Consider the following 25105-nt stretch of genomic DNA (forward strand, 5'->3'; position numbering starts at 1 on the left):
CAGGATGGTCTTGATGTCCCGACCTCGTGATCCACCCGCCTCGGCCTCCCAAAGTGCTGGGATTACAGGCGTGAGCCACCGTACCCGGCCCGATCTCACATACTTTTTTTTAATGGTTTTATTAGCCATAAAAACCATAAGAGGTTTCTAGTCTTAATTGGATAGGTGAATGAGATAAGTTTTTGGATTCCGTCCCAAGGCAAGGAGAGAAGATTAAGGTTTTCATATATGTTCATCCATATGAACCCTACAAAATAGATGCTGGGTGTACTTAAGAAGCTCGATTAAATAAAGTCTGGGGCTTCCTTTTTTTTTTTTTTTTTTTTTTTTTTTGGAGACAGTCTTGCTCTGTCCCCCAGGCTGGAGTGCAATGGCACTCCAATGGAGTGCAGTGATCTTGGCTCACTGCAACCTCCGCCTCCTGGATTCAAACAATTCTGCCTCAGCCTCCCGAGTAGCTGGGATTACAGGCATGCGCCACCATGCCCGGCTAATTTTTTGTATTTTTAGTAAAGATGGGGTTTTGCCATGTTGGCCAGGCTGGTCTCGAACTCCTGACCTCAGGTGATCCACCCGCCTTGGCCCCCCAGAGTGCTAAGATTACAAGTGTGAGCCACCGCCCTCGGCTGTGAGAGGGCTTCTCTCCGGCCTGTGGTAAAGCTAGAGAATCATCCTTTACACACTAGAGATGTGGATTTGCGATAAACTGCAGACCTAGATAAGACACTGCTGCCTAATCAGCGTGTGATAGTTCATATCCTCTCTCGGGCTGTCTTTGAGGAGGATCCTGTTTTACATCACTCTCCAACCTAGGAGGTTGATGATCTTTGATTTCAATTGTTAGCTCCCCTGGTTTTATAAATTGACAGATATCTAACAATTCAGCTGGCCACAAAGTTCTGGTAAAAAAAAAAAAAGAGTCACCTGTTCTTCCCTGAGATGCTTCCTGTTGCCACAGTGAGAAATCCTCAGCTTCTTGTAAAATTCTCCTTTTACTCTCCTTAGGTGTTTTAGCTCACTTGGAAAGGCTAGAGACCCAAGTGAGCAGATCCCGTAAACAGTCTGAAGAGCTGCAGAGCGTGCAGGCCCAGGAAGGTGCTCTTGGAACCAAGATTCATAAACTAAGGCGTCTGCGAGATGAGCTGAGGGCTGTGGTGCGGCACCGGCGAGCCAGCGTGAGTAGAAGGGTGGTATCAGCAGTTCCTTTAGAGTATAATGAACAAACGTGATTTGGGAATTGGTGAATTGGCCATTTTTTATAATGTGTTTTACTTGTGATCTTACTGGATTGATTGCAGTCCTTGATCCCTCAAATGATCAAACCTGTAGAGTTTGGCCAGGCACGGTGGCTCATGCCTGTAATCCCAGCACTTTGAAAGGCGAGGCAGGCCTATCGCCTGTGGTCAGGCGTTTGAGACCAGCCTGGCCAACATGGTGAAACCCCATCTCTACCAGAAATACAAAAATTAGCCAGGCATGGAGGCAGGCGCCTATAATCCCAGCTACTCAGGAGGCTGAGGCACGAATTGCACCTGGGAGGCGGAGGTTGCAGTGAGCTGAGATCGAGCCACTGCACTCCAGCCTGGGAAACAGAGTGAGACTCCGTCTCAAAAAAACAAAAATCCGGTAGAGTTACAGTGAATATCACCTAACATTTTTTAATTTTTTTATTATACTTTAAGTTTTAGGGTACATGCGCACAACGTGTAGGTTTGTTACATATGTATACATGTGCCATGTTGGTGTGCTGCGCCCATTAACTCTTCATTTAACATTAGGTGTATCTCCTAATGCTATCCCTCCCCCCTCCCCCCACCCCACAACAGGCCCCGGTGTGTGATGTTCCCCTTCCTGTGTCCATGTGTTCTCAGTGTTCAATTCCCACCTATGAGTGAGAACATGCGGTGTTTGGTTTTTTGTCCTTGCGATAGTTTGCTGAGAATGATGGTTTCCAGCTTCATCCATGTCCCCACAAAGGATGTGAACTCATCCTTTTTTATGGCTGCGTAATATTCCATGGTGTATATGTGCCACATTTTCTTAATCCAGTCTATCATTGTAGGACATTTGGGTTGGTTCCAAGTCTTTGCTATTGTGAATAGTGCCGCAGTAAACATACATGTGCATGTGTCTTTATAGCAGCATGTTTTATAATCCTTTGGATATATACCCAGTAATGGGATGGCTGGGTCAAATGGTATTTCTAGTTCTAGATCCCTGAGGAATCGCCACACTGACTTCCACAATGGTGGAACTAGTTTACAGTCCCACCAACAGTGTAAAAGTGTTCCTATTTCTCCACAGCCTCTCCAGCACCTGTTGTTTCCTGACTTTTTAATGATCGCCATTCTAACTGGTATGAGATGGTATCTCATTGTGGCTTTGATTTGCATGTCTCTGATGGCCAGTGATGATGAGCATTTTTTCATGTGTCTTTTGGCTGCAGAAATGTCTTCTTTTGAGAAGTGTCTGTTCATGTCCTTTGCCCACTTTTTGATGGGGTTGTTTGTTTTTTTCTTGTACATTTGTTTGAGTTCATTGTAGATTCTGGATATTAGCCCTTTGTCAGATGAGTAGATTGGAAAAATTTTCTCCCATTCTGTAGGTTGCCTGTTCACTCTGATGGTAGTTTCTTTTGCTGTGCAGAAGCTCTTTAGTTTAATTAGATCCCGTTTGTCAATTTTGGCTTTTGTTGCCATTGCTTTTGGTGTTTTAGACATGAAGTCCTTGCCCATGCCTATGTCCTGAATGGTATTGCCTAGGTTTTCTTCTAGGATTTGTATGGTTTTAGGTCTAACTTTTAAGTCTTTAATCCATCTTGAATTAATTTTTGTATAAGGTGTAAGGAAGGGATCCAGTTTCAGCTTTCTACATATGGCTAGCCAGTTTTCCCAGCACCATTTATTAAATAGGGAATCCTTCCCCATTTCTTGTTTTTGTCAGGTTTGTCAAAGATCAGATAGTTGTAGATATGTGGCATTATTTCTGAGGCTTCTGTTCTGTTCCATTGGTCTATATCTCTGTTTTGGTACCAGTACCATGCTGTTTTGGTTACTGTAGCCTTGTAGTATAGTTTGAAGTCAGGTAGGGTGATGCCTCCAGCTTTGTTCTTTTGGCATGGGATTGTCTTGGCAATGGGGGCTCTTTTTTGGTTCCATATGAATTTTAAAGTAGTTTTTTCCAATTCTGTGAAGAAAGTCATTGGTAGCTTGATGGGGATGGCATTGAATCCATAAATTAGCTTGGGCAGTATGGCCATTTTCACAATATTGATTCTTCCTATCCATGAGCATGGAATGTTCTCCCATTTGTTTGTGTCCTCTTTTATTTCGTTGATTAGTGGTTTGTAGTTCTCCTTGAAGAGGTCCTTCACATCCCTTGTAAGTTGGATTCCTGGGTATTTTATTCTCTTTGTAGCAATTGTGAGTGGGAGTTCACTCATGATTTGGCTCTCTGTTTGTCTGTTATTGGTGTATAAGAATGCTTGTGATTTTTGCACATTGATTTTGTATCCTGAGACTTTGCTGAAGTTGCCTATCAGCTTAAGGAGATTTTGGGCTGAGACAATGGGGTTTTCTAGATATACAATCATGTCATCTGCAAACAGGGACAATTTGACTTCCTCTTTTCCTAATTGAATACCCTTTATTTCCTTCTCCTGCCTCATTGCCCTGGCCAGAACTTCCAACACTATGTTGAATAGGAGTGGTGAGAGAGGGCATCCCTGTCTTGTGCCAGTTTTCAAAGGGAATGCTTCCAGTTTTTGCCCATTCAGTGTGATATTGGCTGTGGGTTTGTCATAGATAGCTCTTATTATTTTGAGATACGTCCCATCAATAACTAATTTATTGAGAGTTTTTAGCATGAAGCGTTGTTGAATTTTGTCAAAGGCCTTTTCTGCATCTATCGAGATAATCATGTGGTTTTTGTCTTTGGTTCTGTTTATATGCTGGATTACGTTTATTGATTTGCATATGTTGAACCAGCCTTGCATCCCAGGGATGAAGCCCACTTGATCATGGTGGATAAGCTTTTTGATGTGCTGCTGGATTTGGGTTGCCAGTATTTTATTGAGGATTTTTGCATCGACGTTCATCAGGGATATTGGTCTAAAATTCTCTTTTTTGGTTGTGTCTCTGCCAGGCTTTGGTATCAGGATGATGCTGGCCTCATAAAATGAGTTAGGGAGGATTCCCTCTTTTTCTATTGATTGGAATAGTTTCAGAAGGAATGGTACCAGCTCCTCCTTGTACCTCTGGTAGAATTCGGCTGTGAATCTATCTGGTCTTGGACTTTTTTTGGTTGGTAGGCTATTAATTATTGCCTCAATTTCAGAGCCTGTTATTGGTCTATTCAGAGGTTCAACTTCTTCCTGGTTTAGTCTTGGGAGAATGTATGTGTCCAGGAATTTATCCATTTCTTCTAGATTTTCTAGTTTATTTGCGTAGAGGTGTTTATAGTATTCTCTGATGGTAGTTTGTATTTCTGTGGGATCGGTGGTGATATCCCTTTTATCATTTTTTATTGCGTCTACTTGATTCTTCTCTCTTTTCTTCTTTATTAGTCTTGCTAGCGGTCTATCAATTTTGTTGATCTTTTCAAAAAACCAGCTCCTGGATTCATTGATTTTTTGAAGGGTTTTTTGTGTCTCTATTTCCTTCAGTTCTGCTCTGATCTTAGTTATTTCTTGCCTTCTGCTAGCTTTTGAATGTGTTTGCTTTTGCTTCTCTAGTTCTTTTAATTGTGATGTTAGGGTGTCAATTTTAGATCTTTCCTGCTTTCTCTTGTAGGCATTTAGTGCTATAAATTTCCGTCTACACACTGCTTTGAATGTGTCCCAAAGATTCTGGTATGTTGTGTCTTTGTTCTCGTTGGTTTCAAAGAACATCTTTATTTCTGCCTTCATTTCGTTATGTACCCAGTAGTCATTCAGGAACAGGTTGTTCAGTTTCCATGTAGTTGAGTGGTTTTGAATGAATTTCTTAATCCTGAGTTGTAGTTTGATTGCACTGTCGTCTGAGAGACAGTTTGTTATAATTTCTGTTCTTTTACATTTGCTGAGGAGTGTTTTACTTCCAACTATGTGGTCAATTTTGGAATAGGTGTGGTGTGGTGCTGAAAAAAATGTATATTCTGTTGATTTGGGGTGGAGAGTTCTGTAGATGTCTATTAGGTCCGCTTGGTGCAGAGCTGAGTTCAGTTCCTGGATATCCTTGTTAACTTTCTGTCTCGTTGATCTGTCTAATGTTGATGGTGGGGTGTTAAAGTCTCCCATTATTACTGTGTGGGAGTCTAAGTCTCTTTGTAGGTCTCTAAGGACTTGCTTTATGAGTCTGGGTGCTCCTGTATTGGGTGCATATATATTTAGGATAGTTAGCTCTTCGTGTTGAATTGATCCCTTTACCATTATGTAATGGTCTTCTTTGTCTCTTTTGATCTTTGTTGGTTGAAAGTCTGTTTTATCAGAGACTAGGATTGCAACCCCTGCTTTTTTTTTGTTTTCCATTTGCTTGGTAGATCTTCCTCCATCCCTTTATTTTGAGCCTAAGTGTGTCTCTGCACATGAGATGGGTCTCCTGAATACAGCACACTGATGGGTCTTGACTATCCAGTTTGCCAGTCTGTGTCTTTTAATTGGAGCATTTAGTCTATTTACATTTAAGGTTAATATTGTTATGTGTGAATTTGATCCTGTCATTATGATGTTAGCTGGTTATTTTGCCCATTAATTCATGCAGTTTCTTCATAGCATTGCTGGTCTTTACAATTTGGCATGTTTTTGCAGTGGCTGGTACCGGTTGTTCCTTTCCACGTTTAGTGCTTCCTTCAGGAGCTCTTTTAGGGCAGGCCTGGTGGTGACAAAATCTCTCAGCATTTGCTTGTCTGTAAAGGATTTTATTTCTCCTTCACTTATGAAGCTTAGTTTGGCTGGATATGAAATTCTGGGATGAGAATTCTTTTCTTTAAGAATGTTGAACATTGGCCCCCACTCTCTTCTGACTTGTAGAGTTTGTGCCGAGAGATCAGCTGTTAGTCTGATGGGCTTCCCTTTGTGGGTAGCCCGACCTTTCTCTCTGGCTGCCCTTACATTTTTTCCTTCATTTCAACTTTGGTGAATCTGACAATTATGTGTCTTGGGGTTGCTCTTCTCAAGGAGTATCTTTGTGGCGTTCTCTGTAGTTCCTGAATATGAATATTGGCCTGCCTTGCTAGTTTGGGGAAGTTCTCCTGGATAATATCCTGCAGAGTGTTTTCCAACTTGGTTCCATTCTCCCCATCACTTTCAGGTACACCTATCAGACGTAGATTTGGTCTTTTCACATAGTCCCATATTTCTTGGAGGCTTTGTTCGTTTCTTTTTATTCTTTTTTCTCTAAACTTCTCTTCTTGCTTCATTTCATTCATTTCATCTTCCATCACTGATGCCCTTTCTTCCAGTTGATCGAATCGGCTACTGAGGCTTGTGCATTCGTCACGTGGGTCTCACGCCATGGTTTTCAGCTCCATCAGGTCCTTTAAGGACTTCTCTGCATTGGTTATTCTAGTTAGCCATTCGTGTAATTTTTTTCAAGGTTTTTAACTTCTTTGCCATGGGTTCGAACTTCCTCCTGTAGCTCGGAGTAGTTTGATCGTCTGAAGCTGTCTTCTCTCAACTCGTCAAAGTCATTCTCCGTCCAGCTTTGTTCCATTGCTGGTGAGGAGCTGCGTTCCTTTGGAGGAGGAGAGGCGCTCTGATTTTTAGAGTTTCCAGTTTTTCTGCTCTGTTTTTTCCCCATCTTTGTGGTTTTATCTACCTTTGGTCTTTGATGATAGTGACGTACAGATGGGGTTTTGGTGTGGATGTCCTTTCTGTTTGTTAGTTTTCCTTCTAACAGTCGGGACCCTCAGCTGCAGGTCTGTTGGATTTTGCTGGAGGTCCACTCCAGACGCTGTTTGCCTGGGTATCAGCAGCGGAGGTTGCAGAGCAGCGAATGTTGGTGAACAGCAAATGCTGCTGCCTGATCGTTCCTCTGGAAGTTTTGTCTCAGAGGAGTACCCAGCTGTGTGAGGTGTCAGTCTGCCTCTACTGGGGGATGCCTCCCAGTTAGGCTACTCGGGGGTCAGGGACCCACTTGAGGAGGCAGTCTGTCTGTTCTCAGACCTCCAGCTGCGTGCTGGGAGAACCACTACTCTCTTCAAACTATCAGACAGGGACATTTAAGTCTGCAGAGTTTTCTGCTGCCTTTTGTTTTGCTATGCCCTGCCCCCAGAGGTGGAGTCTACAGAGGCAGGCAGGCCTCCTTGAGCTGCAGTGGGCTCCACCCAGTTCGAGCTTCCAGGCTGCTTTGTTTACCTATCCAAGCCTCGGCAAGGGCGGGCGCCCCTCCCCCAGCCTTGCTGCTGCCTTGCAGTTTGATCTCAGCCTGTTGTGCTAGCAATGAGCAGGCTCTGTGGGCGTAGGACCCTCTGAGCCAGGCGCGGGATATAATCTCCTGGTGTGCCGTTTGCTAAGACCGTTGGAAAAGCGCAGTATTGGGGTGGGAGTGACCCGATTTTCCAGGTGCCGTCTGTCACCCCTTTCTTTGACTAGGAAAGGGAACTCCCTGACCCCTTGCGCTTCCTGGGTGAGGCGATGCCTCGCCCTGCTTTGGCTCACACTCGGTGTGCTGCAACCACTGTCCTGCACCCACGGTCCGACACTTCCCAGAGAGATGAACCTGGTACCTCAGTTGGAAATGCGGAAATCACCCGTCTTCTGCGTTGCTCACGCTGGGAGCTGTAGACTGGGGCTGTTCCTATTCGGCCATCTTGGCTCCACCCCCTCACCTAACATTTGTCAGGCACTACTGGTAAGCCAGGCAAGTTCTTCCTGACAGGTTCTTAACCTGCCCTAATAAACACCTAAGTTTGTTACCTCAATCATATACATATTGGGTATATGCCTGGTAGAATTGCTGAGTCATAGGATATGCATATTCGGTTTAGTAAATACTGCCAGTTTTTGAAAGTGATTGTACTAGTTTTACATTCCCAGCAATAGTTGTATAAGATTTCCCTTGTTTTGCATTTTTACCAATACTTAAAGTGGCCTGCCTTGAGTTGTTGATACTTGTGTCATTTTTGACATCTGTCATCCAGACTCAACCTCCTAGGGAGCTTGACCCTTCCCTTTTTTCAGTTTTCTCTCTAGCCTAGGTTCAGTCAGCAAGACCTATCAGATTTTTCTTTTATATTGCCTTTGTCCTTCCTCCATTGCCACAGCTCAAATATTAGTCATATATGGAGTAAATATCAGGTGATTTGGATATCAGGATTATGACAGTAGTCTGCCAGTTGGTGCATCTTCTAGTATTTCTGCTTTTCCAATAAATCCTGCACAGCCAAGAAAATGCTTCATGAAACACCGCACCATTGCTCTGCTCAAAAGCCGTCAACAACCCTTCATTGCCCATTGGATATCAGCCTTCCTCCCCCTCTTCCTTTTCCACCTGTACCTCTCTTCCTTCCTCCCTTCTTCCGTTCTTTTTTTTTAATTAAAGTGTAATATATATGAAGTGCACTATGACAGAGATTAAAGTATAGAGCATTACCAACACCCAGAAGCCTCCAGTTTGCCTCTTCCTAGTCTTCTCTTAAGTCTTCTCTTAAGGTACCCACTATTCTGATTTCTGTCACCATACATAGGTTTTACCTGATTTTGAACTTTATATAAATGTTAAAAAGCTAATTTATAGCTTAAAAAGTACAAACTCTTATGTCTGGCTTCTTTTGCTGAATGTTCTGACTGTGAGATTCACCTACACTCTGCTTATAGTGCTCATTTTTTTTATTGCTGAATAGCAATTCTATTTTATGAGTATACTACATTTATTTACCCATTCTACTGTGATGACATTTGGGTTATTGGGGTTATTTCACTTTGGGACAATTATGAATGCTGCTGCTGTTAACATTTTGGGTGTTTCTGTCCTTTGATATAAAAATATACACTTATATATTGGGTATATGCCTAGTAGAATTGTTGGTTCATAGGATATGCATGTTAGGTTTAGTAAATTCTGGCAGTTTTTGAAAGTGATTGTACCAGTTTTACATTCCCAGCAATAGTGTTAAATTCCATTGTCCTGCATTTTTACCAATACTTGCTATTGTCAGTTTTAAAAATTTGTCATTCTGGTGGGAGTGTAATAATATGTCATTTTGGATTGAATTTGCATTTGCTTCATAACCAGTGATGGTGAATCCCTGTATTGAACATTTGAAAATCTTCTGTTGCAAAGTGTGCTTTATTCAAGGCCTTTGTGAAATTTTTATTAGGTTGTCCATCTATTAAATTGTAGAAATCTTTACATATTTTGAGTGAGTTCTTTTTTGGGTATCTGTATTAGAGTCTTCCTTAGACTGTGGCTTGTATTTTCACTCTCTAATGGTGTCTTGTGATGAAAATCTTTGTTTTAATGAAGTTTGATTTAGTAATTAAACTTTATTCTTATTGCCCTTGTTTCTTGTTTAATAAATCTTTGTCTAACTTAAGATCATGCTGATCTTTTCCAGGTATTTTATTTTTTTTATTTTTTTTGTTTTTGAGACAGAGTCTCACTTTGTTGCCCAGGCAGGAGTGCAGTGGCACGATCCGGCACCCTCCACCTCCTGGGTTCAAGAGATTCTTCTGCCTCAGCCTCCCGAGTAGCTGGGATTACAGGCATGCGCCCAGCTAATTTTTGTATTTTTAGTAGAGACGGGGTTTCTCTATTGTTGGCCAGGCTAGTCTCGAACTCCTGACCTCAGGTTATCCACCCGCCTCAGCCTCCCAAAGTGCTGGGATTACAGGCGTGAGCCGCCGTGCCTGGCCAGGTAATAAAAGAGCCACCTGGCTCTTTTATTTATAGTTTGTGAAGAGTTTTAATCATGATATTATGATATTAAATTTTCTCAAATATTTTTACTGCATATATTAAGGGAATCATATGTTTTCTCCCTTATTTTATTAATTTGTGGTATATATTGATTGCTGTTTAAATGATAAATTGCCCTCACATTCTCATAGTAAACCTAATTTGGTTTGATGTATCATCTTTTTAATATAATGCTAAATCTGACTTGCTGATATTAGTTATTAGAACTTTTGCATCTAAATTCATGAGAGAGACTGCCCTATTATTTTTTTGTGGTAACTTTGTCAGGTTTTGGCATCAAGTTTTATGTTGCTCTCAGAAAGCAGGTTGAGACATTTTCCTTTTTTTTTTTTCTATTCTTTGAAAGACTTTAGATAAAATTGGTGTTATTTTTTCTTACATTTTGATGAGGAATTCCCCGGTGAAGCTCTTTGGGCCTTCTCTGTGGGAAGGTTTTAATTTCCGATCCAATTTCTTTGATCAGCATAAGCTGTTCAGATTTCCTGTTTTTTCTTGGGTCACTTTTGGTATGTTGCATTTTGCAGTTTGTTCATTTTATGTAAACTCTCACATTTAAAGTTTGAAATTTTTTTAAAACAACCTACTGTCTTGTGACTAGGATGGATCAGTGATGATGTCTCATTTTTTATTCTGATATTGGTCATTTGTGCTTGCTTTCACTCCATTTCTGTCTCCTCGATCAGTCTTGGTGTGTTTTATCACTTTTGTGCCTTTTTTCAAAGAACCAACTTTTGGCTTTGCTGATTTTCTCTCGTTCATTTGTTTTGTATTTTCATTGATTTCTGCTCATTATTATTTTCTTCCATTACTCTCTGAATTTTAGTTGTTCCTTTAGCTTCTTGAGATGAATACTTTATTGATATTTTTTAGTCTTCTTTTCTCTTAAATACATTTAAAGTTAAAAATTTTCCCTCTAACCACAGGTTTAAATGTGTCCCACAAGTTTTTCTTTTTCTTTTTCTTTTTTTGTTTGTATTTTTTCTTTTTTGTTTTTTGTATTGTTTTTTCCTTTTATACCCCACAAGTTTTGATATATTTTCATTATCATTTCAATTCAAATATTGTTAATTTCCATTGTGTTATCTTCTTTGGCCCGTGGGTTTGTTTTATAAGTGTACCAATTAATTTCCAAAAATTTGAGTATTTGGTTTTTTTTTTAAGTTACTAATTTATAGCTTAATTCCATATGGTCAGTGAATGACTCAGCATGTGGTCAGTTTTTGTAAATATTCCATGTGCATTAAATGTGGACTTTGCATTTGTTGGCTCTTATATTCTACATATATCAAATAGGCCTAGTGTGTTCATCATGTTGTTTAAATATCTTACATCCTTAGCTGAGTGTGGTGGCACATACCTGTAATCCCAGCTAGTTGGGAGGCTGAGGCAGGAGAATCACTTGAACCTGGGAGGCGGGGGTTACAGTGAGCCGAGATCATGTCACTCTACTCCAGCCTGGGCAACAGAGTGAAACTATGTCTCAAAAAAAAAAAAAAACTTACATTCTTATTGATTTACTTGTCTACTTGTTTTATTACTGAAATAGATTTTTTAAAATCTCCCACTGTGATTGTAGATGAATTTTTCCCCTTTTATTCTATGTTTCTATATATATTGGGTGGCAACAAATTTAGGACTACTGTATCTTCCTGATTTAGTTGACTTTTTTTTATTATGAAATATTCCTTTTAATTTTAATTAAACTTCTTGCCTTAAAATCTATTTTGATATTGGCCGGGTGTGGTGGCTCACGCCTGTAATCCCAGCCGTTTGTGAGACTAGGGTGAGAGGATCTCTTGAGCCTAGGAGTTTGAGATCAGCCTGGGCAGCATAGTGAGAGCCCCTCATCTTTAAAACAAAATTAAAAATTAAAAAAAAGTTTACTTTGATGAATCCTAGTACAATAGTAACTTTTTTGGTTAACGTTTGCAGGTTAAGGTTTTTTTTTTTTTTTTTTTTGAGATGGAGTTTTGCTCTTGTCGCCCAGGCTGGAGTGCAATGGTGCCATCTTGGCTCACTGGAACCTCTGCCTCCCGGGTTCAAGCAATTCTCGTGCCTCAGCCTCCCAAGTAGCTGGGACTAGAGGTGCTCGCCACCATGCTCAGCTAATTTTTGTATTTTTAGTAGAGGTGGGGTTTCACCACGTTGGCCAGGCTGGTCTCGAACTCCTGACCTCAGGTGATCTGCCCACCTCGGCCTCCCACAGTGCTGGGATTACAGGTGTGAACCACCGCACCCGGCCTGCAGGGTAAGTTTTTTCTGTCTTTCTGCTTCCAATCTTTAAATGACCTTACGTTTAAGGTATTCTTCTTGTAAATAGCATAGAGCTAGATATTTTTAATCCATCTTGACAATTGTTGTCTATTGTTATTATTTATTATTGTTATTTTTTTTTTGAGACAGAGTCTCACTCTGTCGCCCAGGCTGGAGTGCAGTGGCGAGATCTCAGCTCACTGCAATTTCTGCCTCCTGGCTTCAAGTGATTCTCATGCCTCAGCGTCCCAAGTAGGTGGGATTACAGACGTGCACCACCACGCCTGGCTAATTTTTGTATTTTTAGTAGAGACAAGGGTTTCACCATGTTGGCCAGGCTGGTCTTGAACTCCTGGCCTCAAGTGATCTGCCGGTCCTGGCCTGCCAAAGTGCTGGGATTATAGGTGTGAGCCACTATGCCTGGCCAATGTTTGTCTTTTAATTGGAGTATTTAGTCCATGAACTTTTTTTTTTTTTTTTTGAGACGGAGCCTCGCTCTGTCACCCAGGCTGGAGTGCAGTGGCACTATCTCAGCTCACTGCAACCTCCGCCTCCTGATTCAAGCGATTCTCCTGCCTCAGCCTCCTGAGTAGCTGGGATTACAGATGCCCGCCACCACACCCAGCTAATTTTTTGTTTTTTGTTTTTTGTTTTTTTTTTTGAGACGGAGTCTCGCTCTGTCGCCCAGGCTGGAGTGCAGTGGTGCGGTCTCGGCTCACTGCAAGTTCCACCTCCTGGGTTCATGCCATTCTCCTGCCTCAGCCTCCCGAGTAGCTGGGACTACAGGCGCCCGCCACCACGCCCAGCTAGTTTTTTGTATTTTTAGTAGAGACGGGGTTTTACCACGTTAGCCAGGATGGTCTTGATCTCCTGACCTCGTGATCCACCTGCCTCGGCCTCCTAAAATGCTGGGATTACAGGCGTGAGCCACTGCGCCCGGCCAATTTTTTTGTATTTTTAGTAGAGACGGGGTTTCACCATGTTGGCCAGTCTGGTCTTGAACTCCTGACCTCATGATCTGCCCGCTTTGGCCTCCCAAAGTGCTGGAATTACAGGTGTGAGCCACCGCGCCTGGCAAGTCCATGAACTTTTAATGTGATTACTGATCTATTTGGATCTCAATCTACCATAGTATTTTATTGTCTTATTTGTCACGTATAGTCAACATTCCTTTAGTGTTAGACACATATTTACCCTTTTCAGTGCTCTTCATTTTCACATTTCCATCTGCGATTATTTTCTTTCAGTTAAGTAGCTCCTTTTGGTACTTCTTTTGGTATCGCTGGCAGTAAAATCTCCATATTTGTTTGACTGAAGACATCTTTATTTCACTATGTTTTTTATTTTTTAAGAGTATATTTGGTGAGTATATAATTAGATATTAGAATTTATTTTCTTTCAAACTTTATATCATTCTGTTGTCTTCTAGGGCCATAGTATCTTGTCAGGTGTGAAGTTTTGGCCTTATTAGTCAGGTGTTAATCTTATGTTTGTGAATATAATATGTCTTTTTCTTCGGGCTTAAGATTTTCTTTGTCTTTGGTTTTTAGCAATTTTAGATCAATGTGGCTAAGCATGATTTTTTTTTTTATCCTGTTTGGTGCTTGTAAAGCTTCTTTAATTGATGTTTTTCATCTGTTTTACAACATTGGCCAATATCTCTTTAAATAGTGCATCTTCTCAGTTTTTCTCTATTTCTGGGGCTCCCATGTATGGGTGTTTTTGTTTTTGTTTTCTGTGACCTATGTCTTAGTAATTTTCTAATCTTATTTTTTTCTCTGTACTTTAATCTGGATATGGAAAATATGCCTACTTTCCACTCCACGTAAGATCTTATTTGTCTAGTTGGCTTTTAAATCTATTAAAATTCTAATTTGAGTTACTGTATTTTTTTGGTTCTAAGATTTCCGTCTCATTCTTTTCTGTATAGATTCCAGCTCTTTGGTCTGGGTTTCCATCTTTTAGCCTGTTTTAATGGCCATGCCCCATTATTGAAATAGCTGAATCCCTTGGCATCTGTTCTGTTGTCTTCTTTTTCCTCTTGGCTTTCAGTCATCTGTTTCTCTTTCCTGGTATGCCTGTAGTTTTTTTTTTTTTTTTTTTTTTAATTCAATGATGAGTATTGTGTATGAAAAAATATACGGAGGTCAGGTGCTGTGGCTCACGCCTGTAATCCCAGCACTTTGGGAGGCCAAGGCGGGTGGATCATCTAACGTCAGGAGTTCAAGACCAGCCTGGCCAACATGGTGAAACCCTGTCTCTACTAAAAATACAAAAATTAGCGAGGCGTGGTGGCGCACACCTGTAATCCCAGCTACTCGGGAGGCTGAGGGAGGAGAATGGCTTGAACCCGGGAGGCGGAGGTTGCAGTGAGCCGAGATTGTGCCATTGCACTCCAGCCTGGGTAACAGCAAAACTCTGTCTGGAAAAAAGAAAGAAAGAAGGAAAAATATATGGGTTCTGAGTATGTTATCTTCCTCCAGAGGAAATTTTAGTGTTTTTCTGGCAAGTAGATCGTGTATGGGCACATCACCTTTATTCAGTTGAGGTGGTCTATTTCCGGTTTCCCTTACTCCTAGGGCTTAGCTTTTTTTAGGACCTTCAGTTGAAAGTTTGGGAGTGTGTTGGAGATGGGTCTATTAAGGCTCCTGTTCCCTGGCAGGCCCTGAAATCCACATTTTGTTCTAGCAAAATCTCTGCTTGGCTTTTTCCCCTTTAGCAGCTTCTTTCCGTTTGGTTTCTCAGTCCCCAGTCACACCTGTGCAGCTTAGGAATTAGCAAATGCCGGGAGGGAAGATTGCAAGCAGAACGTTGAGTTCCTGTTTCTATGGAATCTTGGCCCGTAGAAAGTCTGCTTTGATACCATTAATGTCCAGTGTTTGTTCCGGATGAGACTGCTGCGGAGTCTAGTTTATGCCTTTCTATGTGGCCCAGTGTGCCTTGCATATGAATAAGGAAATGCTCTGAGGCCAGAGGCTGCAGGGAAGCCAGCTCAGAGCATTTGTCAGTACTCTCCAATCCTGGCTATTTGGATCCTTCTGGAATGCCTTCAAACCATTTGCTCTCTTTGCTTGCTTGTTTCTTTTTGGTATTTTATCCAGCTTGCATAGTTGTTCTCAGAGGGCGGGTCAGCCTGGTACCTTCTGCTGGGCCATAGCTAGCAGCGTAAGCCTTGGAGCCCTGGCACTTGAAACCCCACACTGTCCAAGCACAACTTACCCAGCCTTGCCTCTTCACAGCCACCTGTTGTGTCCACCCTGTGCTTAGCCTAGACTTTCCACACAACCTTTTCTTGCTGCTCTCTCAGTCCTGTCCATTCCCATCAAAAATCGAATTGTTCTTCAGACCTGTACAGTCTCCACTTCTGATTCCTGGCATTGTGACCCATGAGATTCTTCCTCTGCAGTGAATTCATAGCAATAACTGACCGGCCACTGTAGCATTTCTTGATGTATTATATCATGTGCCTTGTATTTAGCTTTCATCCAGTTGGGGGAGGGCGGGGATGTTGTAGTGTACCTCTTTGTACCAAGATTGATTTGCTGCATATCTTGCAGGTGAAAGCATGTATTGCCAATGTAGAACCCAACCAAACAGTGGAGATCAATGAGCAAGAAGCATTGGAAGAGAAATTGGAAAATGTGAAAGCCATTCTGCAGGCATATCATTTTACAGGTTTTGTTTGTTTTTTTAACCTAATTTAGTCTGGGTCTGCCTCTAGTGAGTTAGTTTGCTAGATGTGTTATCAGTCCTGGAATTATTTCATAATTTATAGTATTTTACACCCTCTGCCCTCATCACTCACACACACACACACACACAGACACACACACAGCTGACGTGCTATTTGTAGGCCTATCTTCACCTACAAGATTGACTGGCCCCTTTGTACAGCAGCTCAGTTGGTGGCTGGCTTATTCCACTCATCTTAACAGTTCGTCATGTGCCAGACCTTGTACTAGAACTGTCTTTACTGCTGGCTTGTTTTCTGCCACTAGTGAAATAGTTTGAACTTTCCAAGTCTCCGTTTCACCGTAAATAGGGATTTATTCTCCCATCTATGCCACAAGATAGTTGTGGGAAGAACTGGGGACTCTGACAAATTACTTCACACTCAGAAATAAAGAATAGCTATAAATTAAATTTTTGGCCTTGCTTATGCCTGTAATCCCATCACTTTGGGAGGCTGAGGCAGGATTACTTGAGTCCAGGAGTTCGAGACCAGCCTGGGCAACATAGCAAGACCTCATCTCTACTAAAAATTTAAAAATGAGCCAGGTGAGGTGGCATGCGCTTGTGGTCCCAGCTGTTTGGGAGGCTGAGATGGGAGGATCATTTAAGCCCAGGAAGTTGAGGTTGCAGTGAGCTGAGATCGTGCCACCGCACTCCAGCCTGGGTGACAGAGTGAAACCCTATCTCAAAAAAAAAAAAAAAAAAATTTCTCAATAGTTTGACATTTAGGTTGTTTTTTCATTTTTACCATTCTTCCATGGTTTTAACAACTCAGTCTCAAAGTGAGCCGGAGCCAAGGGGAAGAATGAGCCTATGATACTCATTGAACAAACATTTGTGTACAAAGTGTACATATTCTAGGCACTGTGGAAGCTACTGGAGGCACAGATGAGTAAGACATCACCTTGGCCTGCTGTCTATTGAGGTGTCTTCTTGTTTGCCTCAGGCCTCAGTGGTAAACTGACCAGCCGAGGAGTTTGTGTCTGCATCAGTACTGCTTTTGAGGGGAACCTATTGGATTCCTATTTTGTGGACCTTGTCATACAGAAACCACTCCGGATACATCACCATTCAGTCCCAGTCTTCATTCCCCTGGAAGAGATAGCTGCAAAATATTTACAGACCAACATCCAGCACTTCCTGTTCAGTCTCTGCGAGTACCTGAATGCTTACTCTGGGAGGAAGTACCAGGCAGACCGGCTTCAGGTATCTCTCTGGGATGTTATATGCCTCATCCGTGGGCCCAAGATCAACTTAAAAGGGGGATGTTTTTTGTATTTTCAGTGTTTCCTAACTGTGAGTTAGAAGTTTGACCGTTACCTTTCCGATGCTTGTTTCTTATTTATATAAAAGCACTATCCCACCCTCTTTTCTTTTGAAACTCTGGATGGCGTTGAAGCCTGGGTACTGGTTAAAGGATTATGCACCCCTGAATGGTGGTCTTCAAGCTTTTATCGTAAGATTGTACAGAGTGCAGTTGCTATACTTTTGATCCATCAGGGATTTATGGCGTGCCTACTATGTACCATACCGAGTGCCTTGCTGAACCTTGGGTATAGATCTCATTAGAGAAGAAAGGTTTCTGCAGTGCCATGGAACAATGCTGTCCATCTTCCCCTAAACTCTAGCCTACCTTTTTGGGTTGCAGTTGAGCTAAGGTTGGGTGAAAAAAGTAGATAGGAAATTAATGCAAATAGGCTGTAAGTGCCTCCTACAAGCTTAGCATTTCCCCCTCTATGGATTTGGAGTAACTCTGAAGCTCTCAGCTGTAGATTTAACTTAAATTGAAATGTGGATGCAGTCATGAAGCATCTTAGCCGTGTAACGTCAGTGAAGTTTCTGCAGAAACAGTCTCTTGCGAAGCTGTACCCCTGGCCATTTAGGCCTATAGGCCTTTCCAGGCTGCCAGTGACTCTTAGTTATCTTAGGCATCTTTTTCATTAGTCCTTTTTTCAGACCTTTTTCTGTCCCTCATTTATTTCTCTGAAATGTAATCGATGGGCCTCTTTTTGGTTGACGTAATTGAAGGGTCAGTAAACACCACCTTTGGAACTGCAGTCATCCTCTACTTCGTTTTGTTCCTCACCCCTCTTAGAGTGACTTTGCAGCCCTCCTGACTGGGCCCTTGCAGAGAAACCCACTGTGTAACTTGCTGTCATTTACTTACAAACTGGATCCAGGGGGTCAGTCCTTCCCGTTCTGTGCTAGATTGCTGTATAAGGACCTCACAGCAACTCTTCCCACTGACGTCACCGTGACATGTCAAGGTAAGAAGGGTGCCTCAGTGCAGAAATTCTCATATCCCAGTTTATTTGAGTGAAACAGGGAAAATAGGTAGAATCCATGAAGTAGACCTCTTGAGACACTTTCTCTGTTTATATACTGTACATTACTCAGACCGGTAAGATAGAACATTCTTGTTTCTACCAGTCTTTTCCTTCCTCTTTGTAAATGGTAAACATGATTGTCCCCATTTTCCCTTCTCCTTTGCCCACCCACCTCAGCAGTGTTCTCGCAGCCTATGATTTGTTTTCACTGGGGGCCCTGCTTCAGGAAAGACACCTAATGATAAGGCTGAGTCATGGGTCAGTTATGGTGGATGGAGCCAGAAGACTCATTTCACTGTGAAGACAAATGGACATGACACGTCAGCACACACTTACTCCTCCCTACGGAGCAGTCTCTAAATGGAAATCCTTCCAGACTGGCTGAGAGAGAGATTTTTTGGTGAACCTGTTTCAGTTAAATGTGACATGGGCAATAATGAAAAATTGGGTGAAATGTTTTTAGGAGGCAGAAATTTTGAAGCTGCCCCAGATTTCACACCATCGGTCTTTGATTTCTCTGCGCAGTTAGATTCCAGTCCCCAGTCTCTAGATTGCATTGGTCCAGTAAGGGGCAGCCTTAGTCCAGACCAAAAAAAAAAGCTGTATGGGTCCAGTGGGTCCAGAATATCAGTGATCCAGGTTCCGATTCCCCCAGCTGCACTGAGTGAGATTGAATGTCAGTGATCCAGGCTCCGATTCCCCCAGCTGCACTGAATGAGATTGAATATCAGTGATCCAGGCTCCGATTCCCCCAGCTGCACTGAATGAGATTGATGGAATCTTTCTTTTTAGGAGTGGAAGTATTATCCACTTCATGGGAGGAGCAACGAGCATCTCATGAAACTCTGTTCTGTACGAAGCCCTTGCATCAAGTGTTTGCCTCATTTACAAGAAAAGGAGAAAAGTTGGATATGAGTCTGGTCTCCTAATAGATTGTTTTCACTGCACTGGGAGCACATCAGAGGTAAGTAACCAGTACTGAAGACAGTACCAGGTGGGTAGTACTGTCTGATGAAGGGTACATCACCCTTCTGATGAAAACAGACACCTACCTGTTCATCTGGATGGAAGAGCAGGTTTGAGTATAGACACTGGCATTTTTGAACAATTCCCATGATCACCTGGTCCCTTCTTAAAATGCTCAAGATGTTTTTTAAAGGTATTAGTTGATCATACATTTTAGTTGAAAATCATTTGTGGGGCAATAAAAGCCATTTTTTGAAAAAGGTGTATCACTCAAGAAGTACTTATGGAAAAATATCAAATTATTGAGGGCATTAACTCTGGGAAAGACCAGGCAATTAAGTTGTCACAGTAACTGCTACTAATTTAATGCCAGGAATAGAGATGCCAAAAATCCTAAAATTTTCAGAAAGGGCTCTCACAGAAATGTAGCACTCCACTCAAACTGCAATAGCTTGATTCTGTTGAGAAACACTGATCTAAATAAATGGAAAAATAACCCACATTCACTAATGAAGATAATAAGGAAGACCCAATATTTTTTTTTTTTTAAAAGGAAAGTATTTTTAGCTTTTATGAAAGCTTTAAGTAATTTTTCCTCATTTTCCTGTTTGAAACTTTTGAAAAGGAAGTTCTTCAGTGTTTGTTTGGTTAGGCGCAGTGTATTCTAGGCCACTGCTTTATAAATATGGTGTGAGAAAGCAGTAGGATAAAATAATCAGAGTTCAGTGTGTCTCATATTTTGTTTCCTAAAAGTTTAGTAGAGCTGTGAATGTACTAGGAAGTCCCCTCTGAAAAAGCACAGTTAGTTAGTTAGAAATCTGCCCATTAACTCAGGGGGACTCAGGCGCCCCCCGGGTCTTCCCTCTCCTGCAGGCTCTCCGGTTAGTGTCCTGATTTGCCGTAACCACGGGCCTCTGACCTGCTGGCACCTCTGGTTCCTTGGCGTGTGGGTCACTCACAGATATGAAAACCTGTGTCTGGCTGACCAGGTTCTCCTGTAGCCCTCCCTTGCCCAGGCACAGATAGGAGTCATGACTGGCCCAAGGCCACGTTCAGACTTAACCCTGCAATGGCCACGAAGTAACCTCCGTGTGGGAGAGCTCCAGGAACAGTGCAGGGGATTAAAGCCAGCTTGGAGTACCCTTTAGAAGAAAGTTTAAGAATAAAAGAGACAGGGCCAGGCAGCAGGCGTTCCGGGGTACAGTGAGCTATGATGAGACCTTCAAGCTCTTGCCTTCCAGGCCTGTGGTGGGGACCAGTGGCATGAGTCAGCAAAGTACCAGCACTCCTCAGATAAGTGATATTAACAGAATTTCCACAATCACTTTCAAGTTGAATAAAGCTTTTAATAAAACAGTCTTGTTCTTTATCAATACCTGTAAATTCTCTTAAAGCAGTAGCAAAGGCGACTGTAGCAAGAGCTCAAAAGGCAAGGCAATATCGGAAAGTGTATTTAACAGAAGATTAAAAATATAAATGTAGAAGATCTGTTTATATATTTTTCTTTCAGAAATAAATCCCCCCTCCCCTGCCAGGTGAAAGGAAATATTGCACTTTCTGTTCTCATGACTAAGGGGACAGGAGTTCCAGAAGAACCTTTCAAGATGATCAGGAACACCAGGACGAGGGCCGTCTCACCTCACTCGGACCACATGGAGACCTCCCTTCAAAATGGGAGCCATGTCCTGCCCCACCAAGCCCTGTCTGAAGTGGAGCTTCCCCGCCTGTGCTCCCTCCACAGTCCCGGAAAGCCCAGCGGCAAAGGCAGCTTTGTCCCAGCTCTGCCACCCTCCTGCTCACAGTGGTCAGGGCCCCTCAGGGGCAAGGACGGCAGGGATTGGAACGAGGGCTCTGGAAGGACTGTTCAGCCCTATGCCTAAGACCCCTATGCTGGGGACACTACAGGCACACACAGGAATAGCAGGGCCACCCTCAGAGCTCACACATCCACGAACAAATGAAGGCTGAGGAGGTTTCTAAACCTAAAGTCCATGAGTGTGCACTTCAATCCAGGAAGGTCGGGACTTCCTTCAGTTTCAAAAAATAAATTCTCCCTTCCGGTTTGGACTGTTGCAGGCTCGAGGCCATTCAGGAGTTGTCCACCACCTGGTGGGGCAGTGTGACAGAGGGGCCATTGGGGAAGGTGGCTAGCTTATCCCGCCCCTTCAAGAAGAAGGTCAGCAGCTCCCCCTTCCCCTTCACAAAGATGGGGCCTCGCCTCACAAAGCGGAAGCCGTACTCTCGGAGGATGACTTGGGTTTCTTCTACCACCTGGAGAGGGAGGGGGAGCAAGAACGTGGCGTTACGGGGGGAGCCTAGACTGAGGGCGGGTGGGGGCTTTGGGTGGTTGGAGCCGAGCACTGATCCATGGGTCCCAAGCAGTACGGGACACTCCCCAAACCTCCCAGGGCCAAGCCCTTCCACCCGTGGCGAGCAGCGGGTGGGAAGGAGAACCCTGGAGTGACTGGCTGGGGGCCTCCTCTCATCCAGAGACTTCTCTCCTAGGATGGCCATGGTCACCTGGGTGGCAGCACTGTTACCTGGAAACTGCCACTGCCTGCTCTTCTGTCCCTTTGCCCCTTTCGTGGAGCTTTTCTGCCAGACGCCACTGAGACAGATCACAAGGTATTAGAAGGTTCATACCCAAAGGTAGGCCATATGCATCTAGAACTTCAGCCCAGATTTTGTGGATGGGTGGAAGTGTTTCTTCCTGTGCTGAGGCTAGCTATTGCAGAGATTCTTTTCCACTTGCCCCACGTCTCTGCCTCTGGACTTACTGTTCAGGGCCAGGGTGGGAGGCAGGGGCACGTGGGAAAGCACTGTTCCGGTTTTGTTCTCATGCCGAGTCTGAGCACGTGCCAGCTGTGCCACTGGACATACCTGAATGTTGCCCATGACCCCCGTGGACTCCATCCTGCTGGCTACATTGACTGTATTGCCCCAGATGTCGTAGTGTGGTTTCCGGGCTCCGATGACCCCAGCCAGAACCCCGCCTTTGTTCATGCCTAGGGTAGAGGCATAAAGTTCAGCACAGCCACAGGCCACACCTTGTTATGGGCCTCAGAAGCCATCTCCTCTCCAGACCTGTACCACAAAGCTCCTAATGTAACACATCATTGTCCTCATTCAACTTGGCTGTATGCTATTGGAGGGTGGAAATCACATCTCCTGTTTATCCGTGTGCTTGTTAGGTGTCAGCCGCCACCCCCCCCCCATATGCAGATTTACTCGGCATGGTAGTGGCCAGCTTCTAACACAGCTGGTATTTCAAGTCTCCTGGGACCTCACTCAGGAATGATACCCCCTCAGTAGAAGCAGCAGGTGATCTTAACTCCTTTCAAAGAGCAGGCCTGTCTGGGAAGCCATGTCCTCAGCAGGCACAGCAACCCCTCTGGAAATGGATCACAAACTCACTTCTCAGCCAGGCAGGCCAAGCTTCTATTGTAACAGTAGGCACAGTATAGTCGGATCATCACATCAGCTGGGTTTTTGGTTTAGTCATCTAGAGTCGTCTGGACTAAAGGTCTTTCAGGTCTCCTTGCCCTGTGAGTGCGTGAACCTCCCCACCCGAATTGCCTCAGTTGTCCTGAGCCTCATGTCTCTCCTGGTGGTGGGCCAGGCCCCTGCATGGGAAGGGAGCCTGCTGCGGGGCAGGCCAGCTGGGGGTGCTCACCTATGCGCAGCATGAAGTTATTGAAGGACTGGTTGTTGATGTTGGTGAGCGTATCCTTCATGGCCAGCGCGAAGTCGGCCAGGTCAGCCAGGTGCTGCCAGCGCTCTCTCTCGGACTTGTCTTCCTGTGCCAGGGGACCGTGGAGAAAGTGTCAGGGGCCGCTCACTGCAGCAGCCTGCTCTGCTGCCTTCCCTGGCAGTGTTCTGGGGGTGGATTCCCTACACCTAGATGTTCAAGGCCTTACTTTTCCTCCCACAAAGGAGTCGCAGCCACGCTAGCTCTGACTTGCCACTGTGACAAAGTTCACGTAGCAGGTCTAGGCAAAGACTGGGCAATTGAGCAGAGGAGACGGACCTGTGAGTCTGACCACGAGGCGGACCCCTTCACCTTGGCTGGGCCTGGTCCTGGTCCTTAGGTTTTGTCAGGTTGTCCTTGTTTGGATCCCTCAACTAGGTGATAAGCACTGGAGGGGGATGACCCGCCTTGGACGTGTTTCTTTAACCTCATCCATATAATAGGGCCGTGGGATGGTTGTAGAGGTAAAGCAGGATGATGGTGTTTTAAGACCAGAGCTTGGGACCAGGGCTCCTACACCTAATTTTCTCTCCTGGTAGCTGAACAAAGGTCTAAATTAGCTTAACAAAAGAACAGGCTGCCGTCAGCCAGAGTTCTGAAGGCCATGCTTTCAGTTTCCCTTGTTGACAATTGCTCTCCAGTTCCTATGAAAGCACAGAGCCTTAGGGGGCCTGGCCACAGAACACAACCATCTTAGGCCTGAGCTGTGAACAGCAGGGGGTTGTGTGTCTGTTCTGTTTCTCTGCTTGCCGAACTTTCTCAATAAACCCTATTTCTTATTTATATTTACGTGGTGCTGGTGGTGTGTGTCTGGGACCACTTTGCACAGCAGTTCTTATTTCCCCCATGCTAGGTCTGGGCTGCCAATCTCTTGCCTTGGGGGCAGAGCCTCATCTCTCTGGCTACTGGGGTTAGCTACCTTGTTGGAGCTGGCAAAGCCATTGGTGTTGACATCGGGGGTGACTCCTGAAGCCGCCATATACGTGCTGCCAATGGTTTTGATCTTGGTGATCACCCGGAACTTGGGATTGTCCAGGAGCTGAGGCCAGGATTCAGGAAAGAATTGTCAGCAGTCAAGGGAGAGGAATGACCCAACCCAGTGACAGATGTACCTGTTTACAAGGACCCCACTAAACCCAAGAGACACTTTCCTATCAAAGTTGTTACTTAGTCTACCGCTTATCTGCCACATGATCCTGGGAGAACTTCCTAACTTTCTGGGCCTGTTTCCACAACCTCAACACTGACATAAAATCGGCAGTCTCCTAGGGGGGCTCCGCGCGTGTGTAAAAGCATTCTCCCTGGTATACAGGTCACCCAGTCAATGCTGACCGGCTCTGAATTTGAGGAGACAGTCCCAGGACAGAGAGGTCTCGAGATGTTGCTTGGCCAGTCCTTATCCTTATCCTGTGACCCTGTGGGTGATTTCCCGGGCTCCCACCTCACCTCCCCTTCCCCAGCCCAGCAGTTCCAGGTGGCTGCAGAAGTCCATGTATTGCGGAAGGGGCTTATCTGGGAAAATGAAGCCAGTTTCTCTGGCCTCTGCAGCCTATTGTAGGATGTGATGTGGAATGGGCCGGCTTCATGGCCAGAGTGCAGGGTGGGATGGGCACTCACAGAGTCAAAATCTGAGATGATTTCATTGAGGAAACGCAGACACTCAATACCACCATTGTTGATGCTCTCCTCTGTGTAGAAGTCAGCAAAGTTGGGCAGGGAGGCAAACATGACTCCAATCTCATCATACGTCTGGCTATACAGCTCCTAAAAAGAGGTGCGGACAACGTGCTCAAAGCATGTCCGACTGACTGGATGATGTGTTGGAGAAATGCATCTATCTTCCATGCATGACATGTGCACTCAGCTTTTTGGACTCACACATCAGTCAGATTATTCCAGCATTTTTTTTTTTTTTTTTAAGAGTGGGTCTTGCTGTGTTTCCCAGGCTGGAGTGCAGTGGCAGTAAACAAGCACAATTAGGTATGATCGAAGCACACTGCGGCCTTGAACACCAGGTATCTGGGACCACAGACACATGTCACCATGCCCGGCTGTAGATTATTCCAACTCTGAATAATTTAAAAATAGCTCATCGCTACTTTTTTTTTTTTTTTTTGAGAGATGGAGTCTTGCTGTGTCACCCAGGCTGGAGTTGAGTGGCACAATCTCAGCTCACTGCAACC

General features: G+C 43.9%; 2 protein-coding genes across 37 annotated transcripts in view, besides 2 other annotated features; one reads left to right on the top strand and one right to left on the bottom strand.

The window, feature by feature from the left end:
- CENPO (centromere protein O) overlaps window positions 1-23707 on the top strand; it is a 28952-nt gene extending 5245 nt beyond the window's left edge. For 4 of the 6 annotated variants that reach the window (NR_136183.2, NM_024322.4, NM_001322101.2 and 1 more), the window contains 6 exons: window positions 1006-1175; window positions 15707-15824; window positions 16828-17087; window positions 17977-18148; window positions 19001-19172; window positions 20685-23707. Coding sequence is in view for 3 of the 6 variants with exons in the window: in NM_024322.4 (NP_077298.1) it covers window positions 1006-1175; window positions 15707-15824; window positions 16828-17087; window positions 17977-18148; window positions 19001-19137 (857 nt within the window). In the remaining 3 variants the exon portion in view is untranslated. The remainder of the gene's footprint in view (window positions 1-1005; window positions 1176-15706; window positions 15825-16827; window positions 17088-17976; window positions 18149-19000; window positions 19173-20684) is intronic. The other 2 variants (NR_136182.2, NR_136184.2) reach the window with 1 other exon arrangement.
- The window catches only part of ADCY3 (adenylate cyclase 3), a 101069-nt gene continuing 96463 nt past the window's right edge, over window positions 20500-25105 (bottom strand). For 17 of the 31 annotated variants that reach the window (NM_001377129.1, NM_004036.5, NM_001320613.2 and 14 more), the window contains 5 exons: window positions 24540-24686; window positions 23842-23961; window positions 22848-22971; window positions 22055-22179; window positions 20500-21445 (listed from right to left, as the gene is read on the bottom strand). In NM_001377129.1, coding sequence (NP_001364058.1) covers window positions 21263-21445; window positions 22055-22179; window positions 22848-22971; window positions 23842-23961; window positions 24540-24686 — 699 coding nt within the window. In that variant the 3' untranslated portion in view covers window positions 20500-21262. Of the gene's footprint in view, window positions 22180-22847; window positions 22972-23841; window positions 23962-24539; window positions 24687-25105 lie in introns of all 31 variants that reach the window. The other 14 variants (XM_047443014.1, XM_047443009.1, XM_047443013.1 and 11 more) reach the window with 5 other exon arrangements.
- Window positions 23297-23840: an enhancer, noted in NCBI's record as "OCT4-NANOG-H3K27ac-H3K4me1 hESC enhancer chr2:25044835-25045378 (GRCh37/hg19 assembly coordinates)". NCBI's record gives its function as "activates a minimal SCP1, AML or CMV promoter by ChIP-STARR-seq in naive and primed H9 embryonic stem cells {active_cell/tissue: H9 hESC(naive and primed)}" and the evidence as "EXISTENCE:reporter gene assay evidence [ECO:0000049][PMID:30033119]".
- Window positions 23841-24385: an enhancer, noted in NCBI's record as "NANOG-H3K27ac-H3K4me1 hESC enhancer chr2:25045379-25045923 (GRCh37/hg19 assembly coordinates)". NCBI's record gives its function as "activates a minimal SCP1, AML or CMV promoter by ChIP-STARR-seq in primed H9 embryonic stem cells {active_cell/tissue: H9 hESC(primed)}" and the evidence as "EXISTENCE:reporter gene assay evidence [ECO:0000049][PMID:30033119]".

This window comes from Homo sapiens, chromosome 2, assembly GCF_000001405.40.
Source record: "Homo sapiens chromosome 2, GRCh38.p14 Primary Assembly".
NCBI lineage: Eukaryota > Metazoa > Chordata > Mammalia > Primates > Hominidae > Homo > Homo sapiens.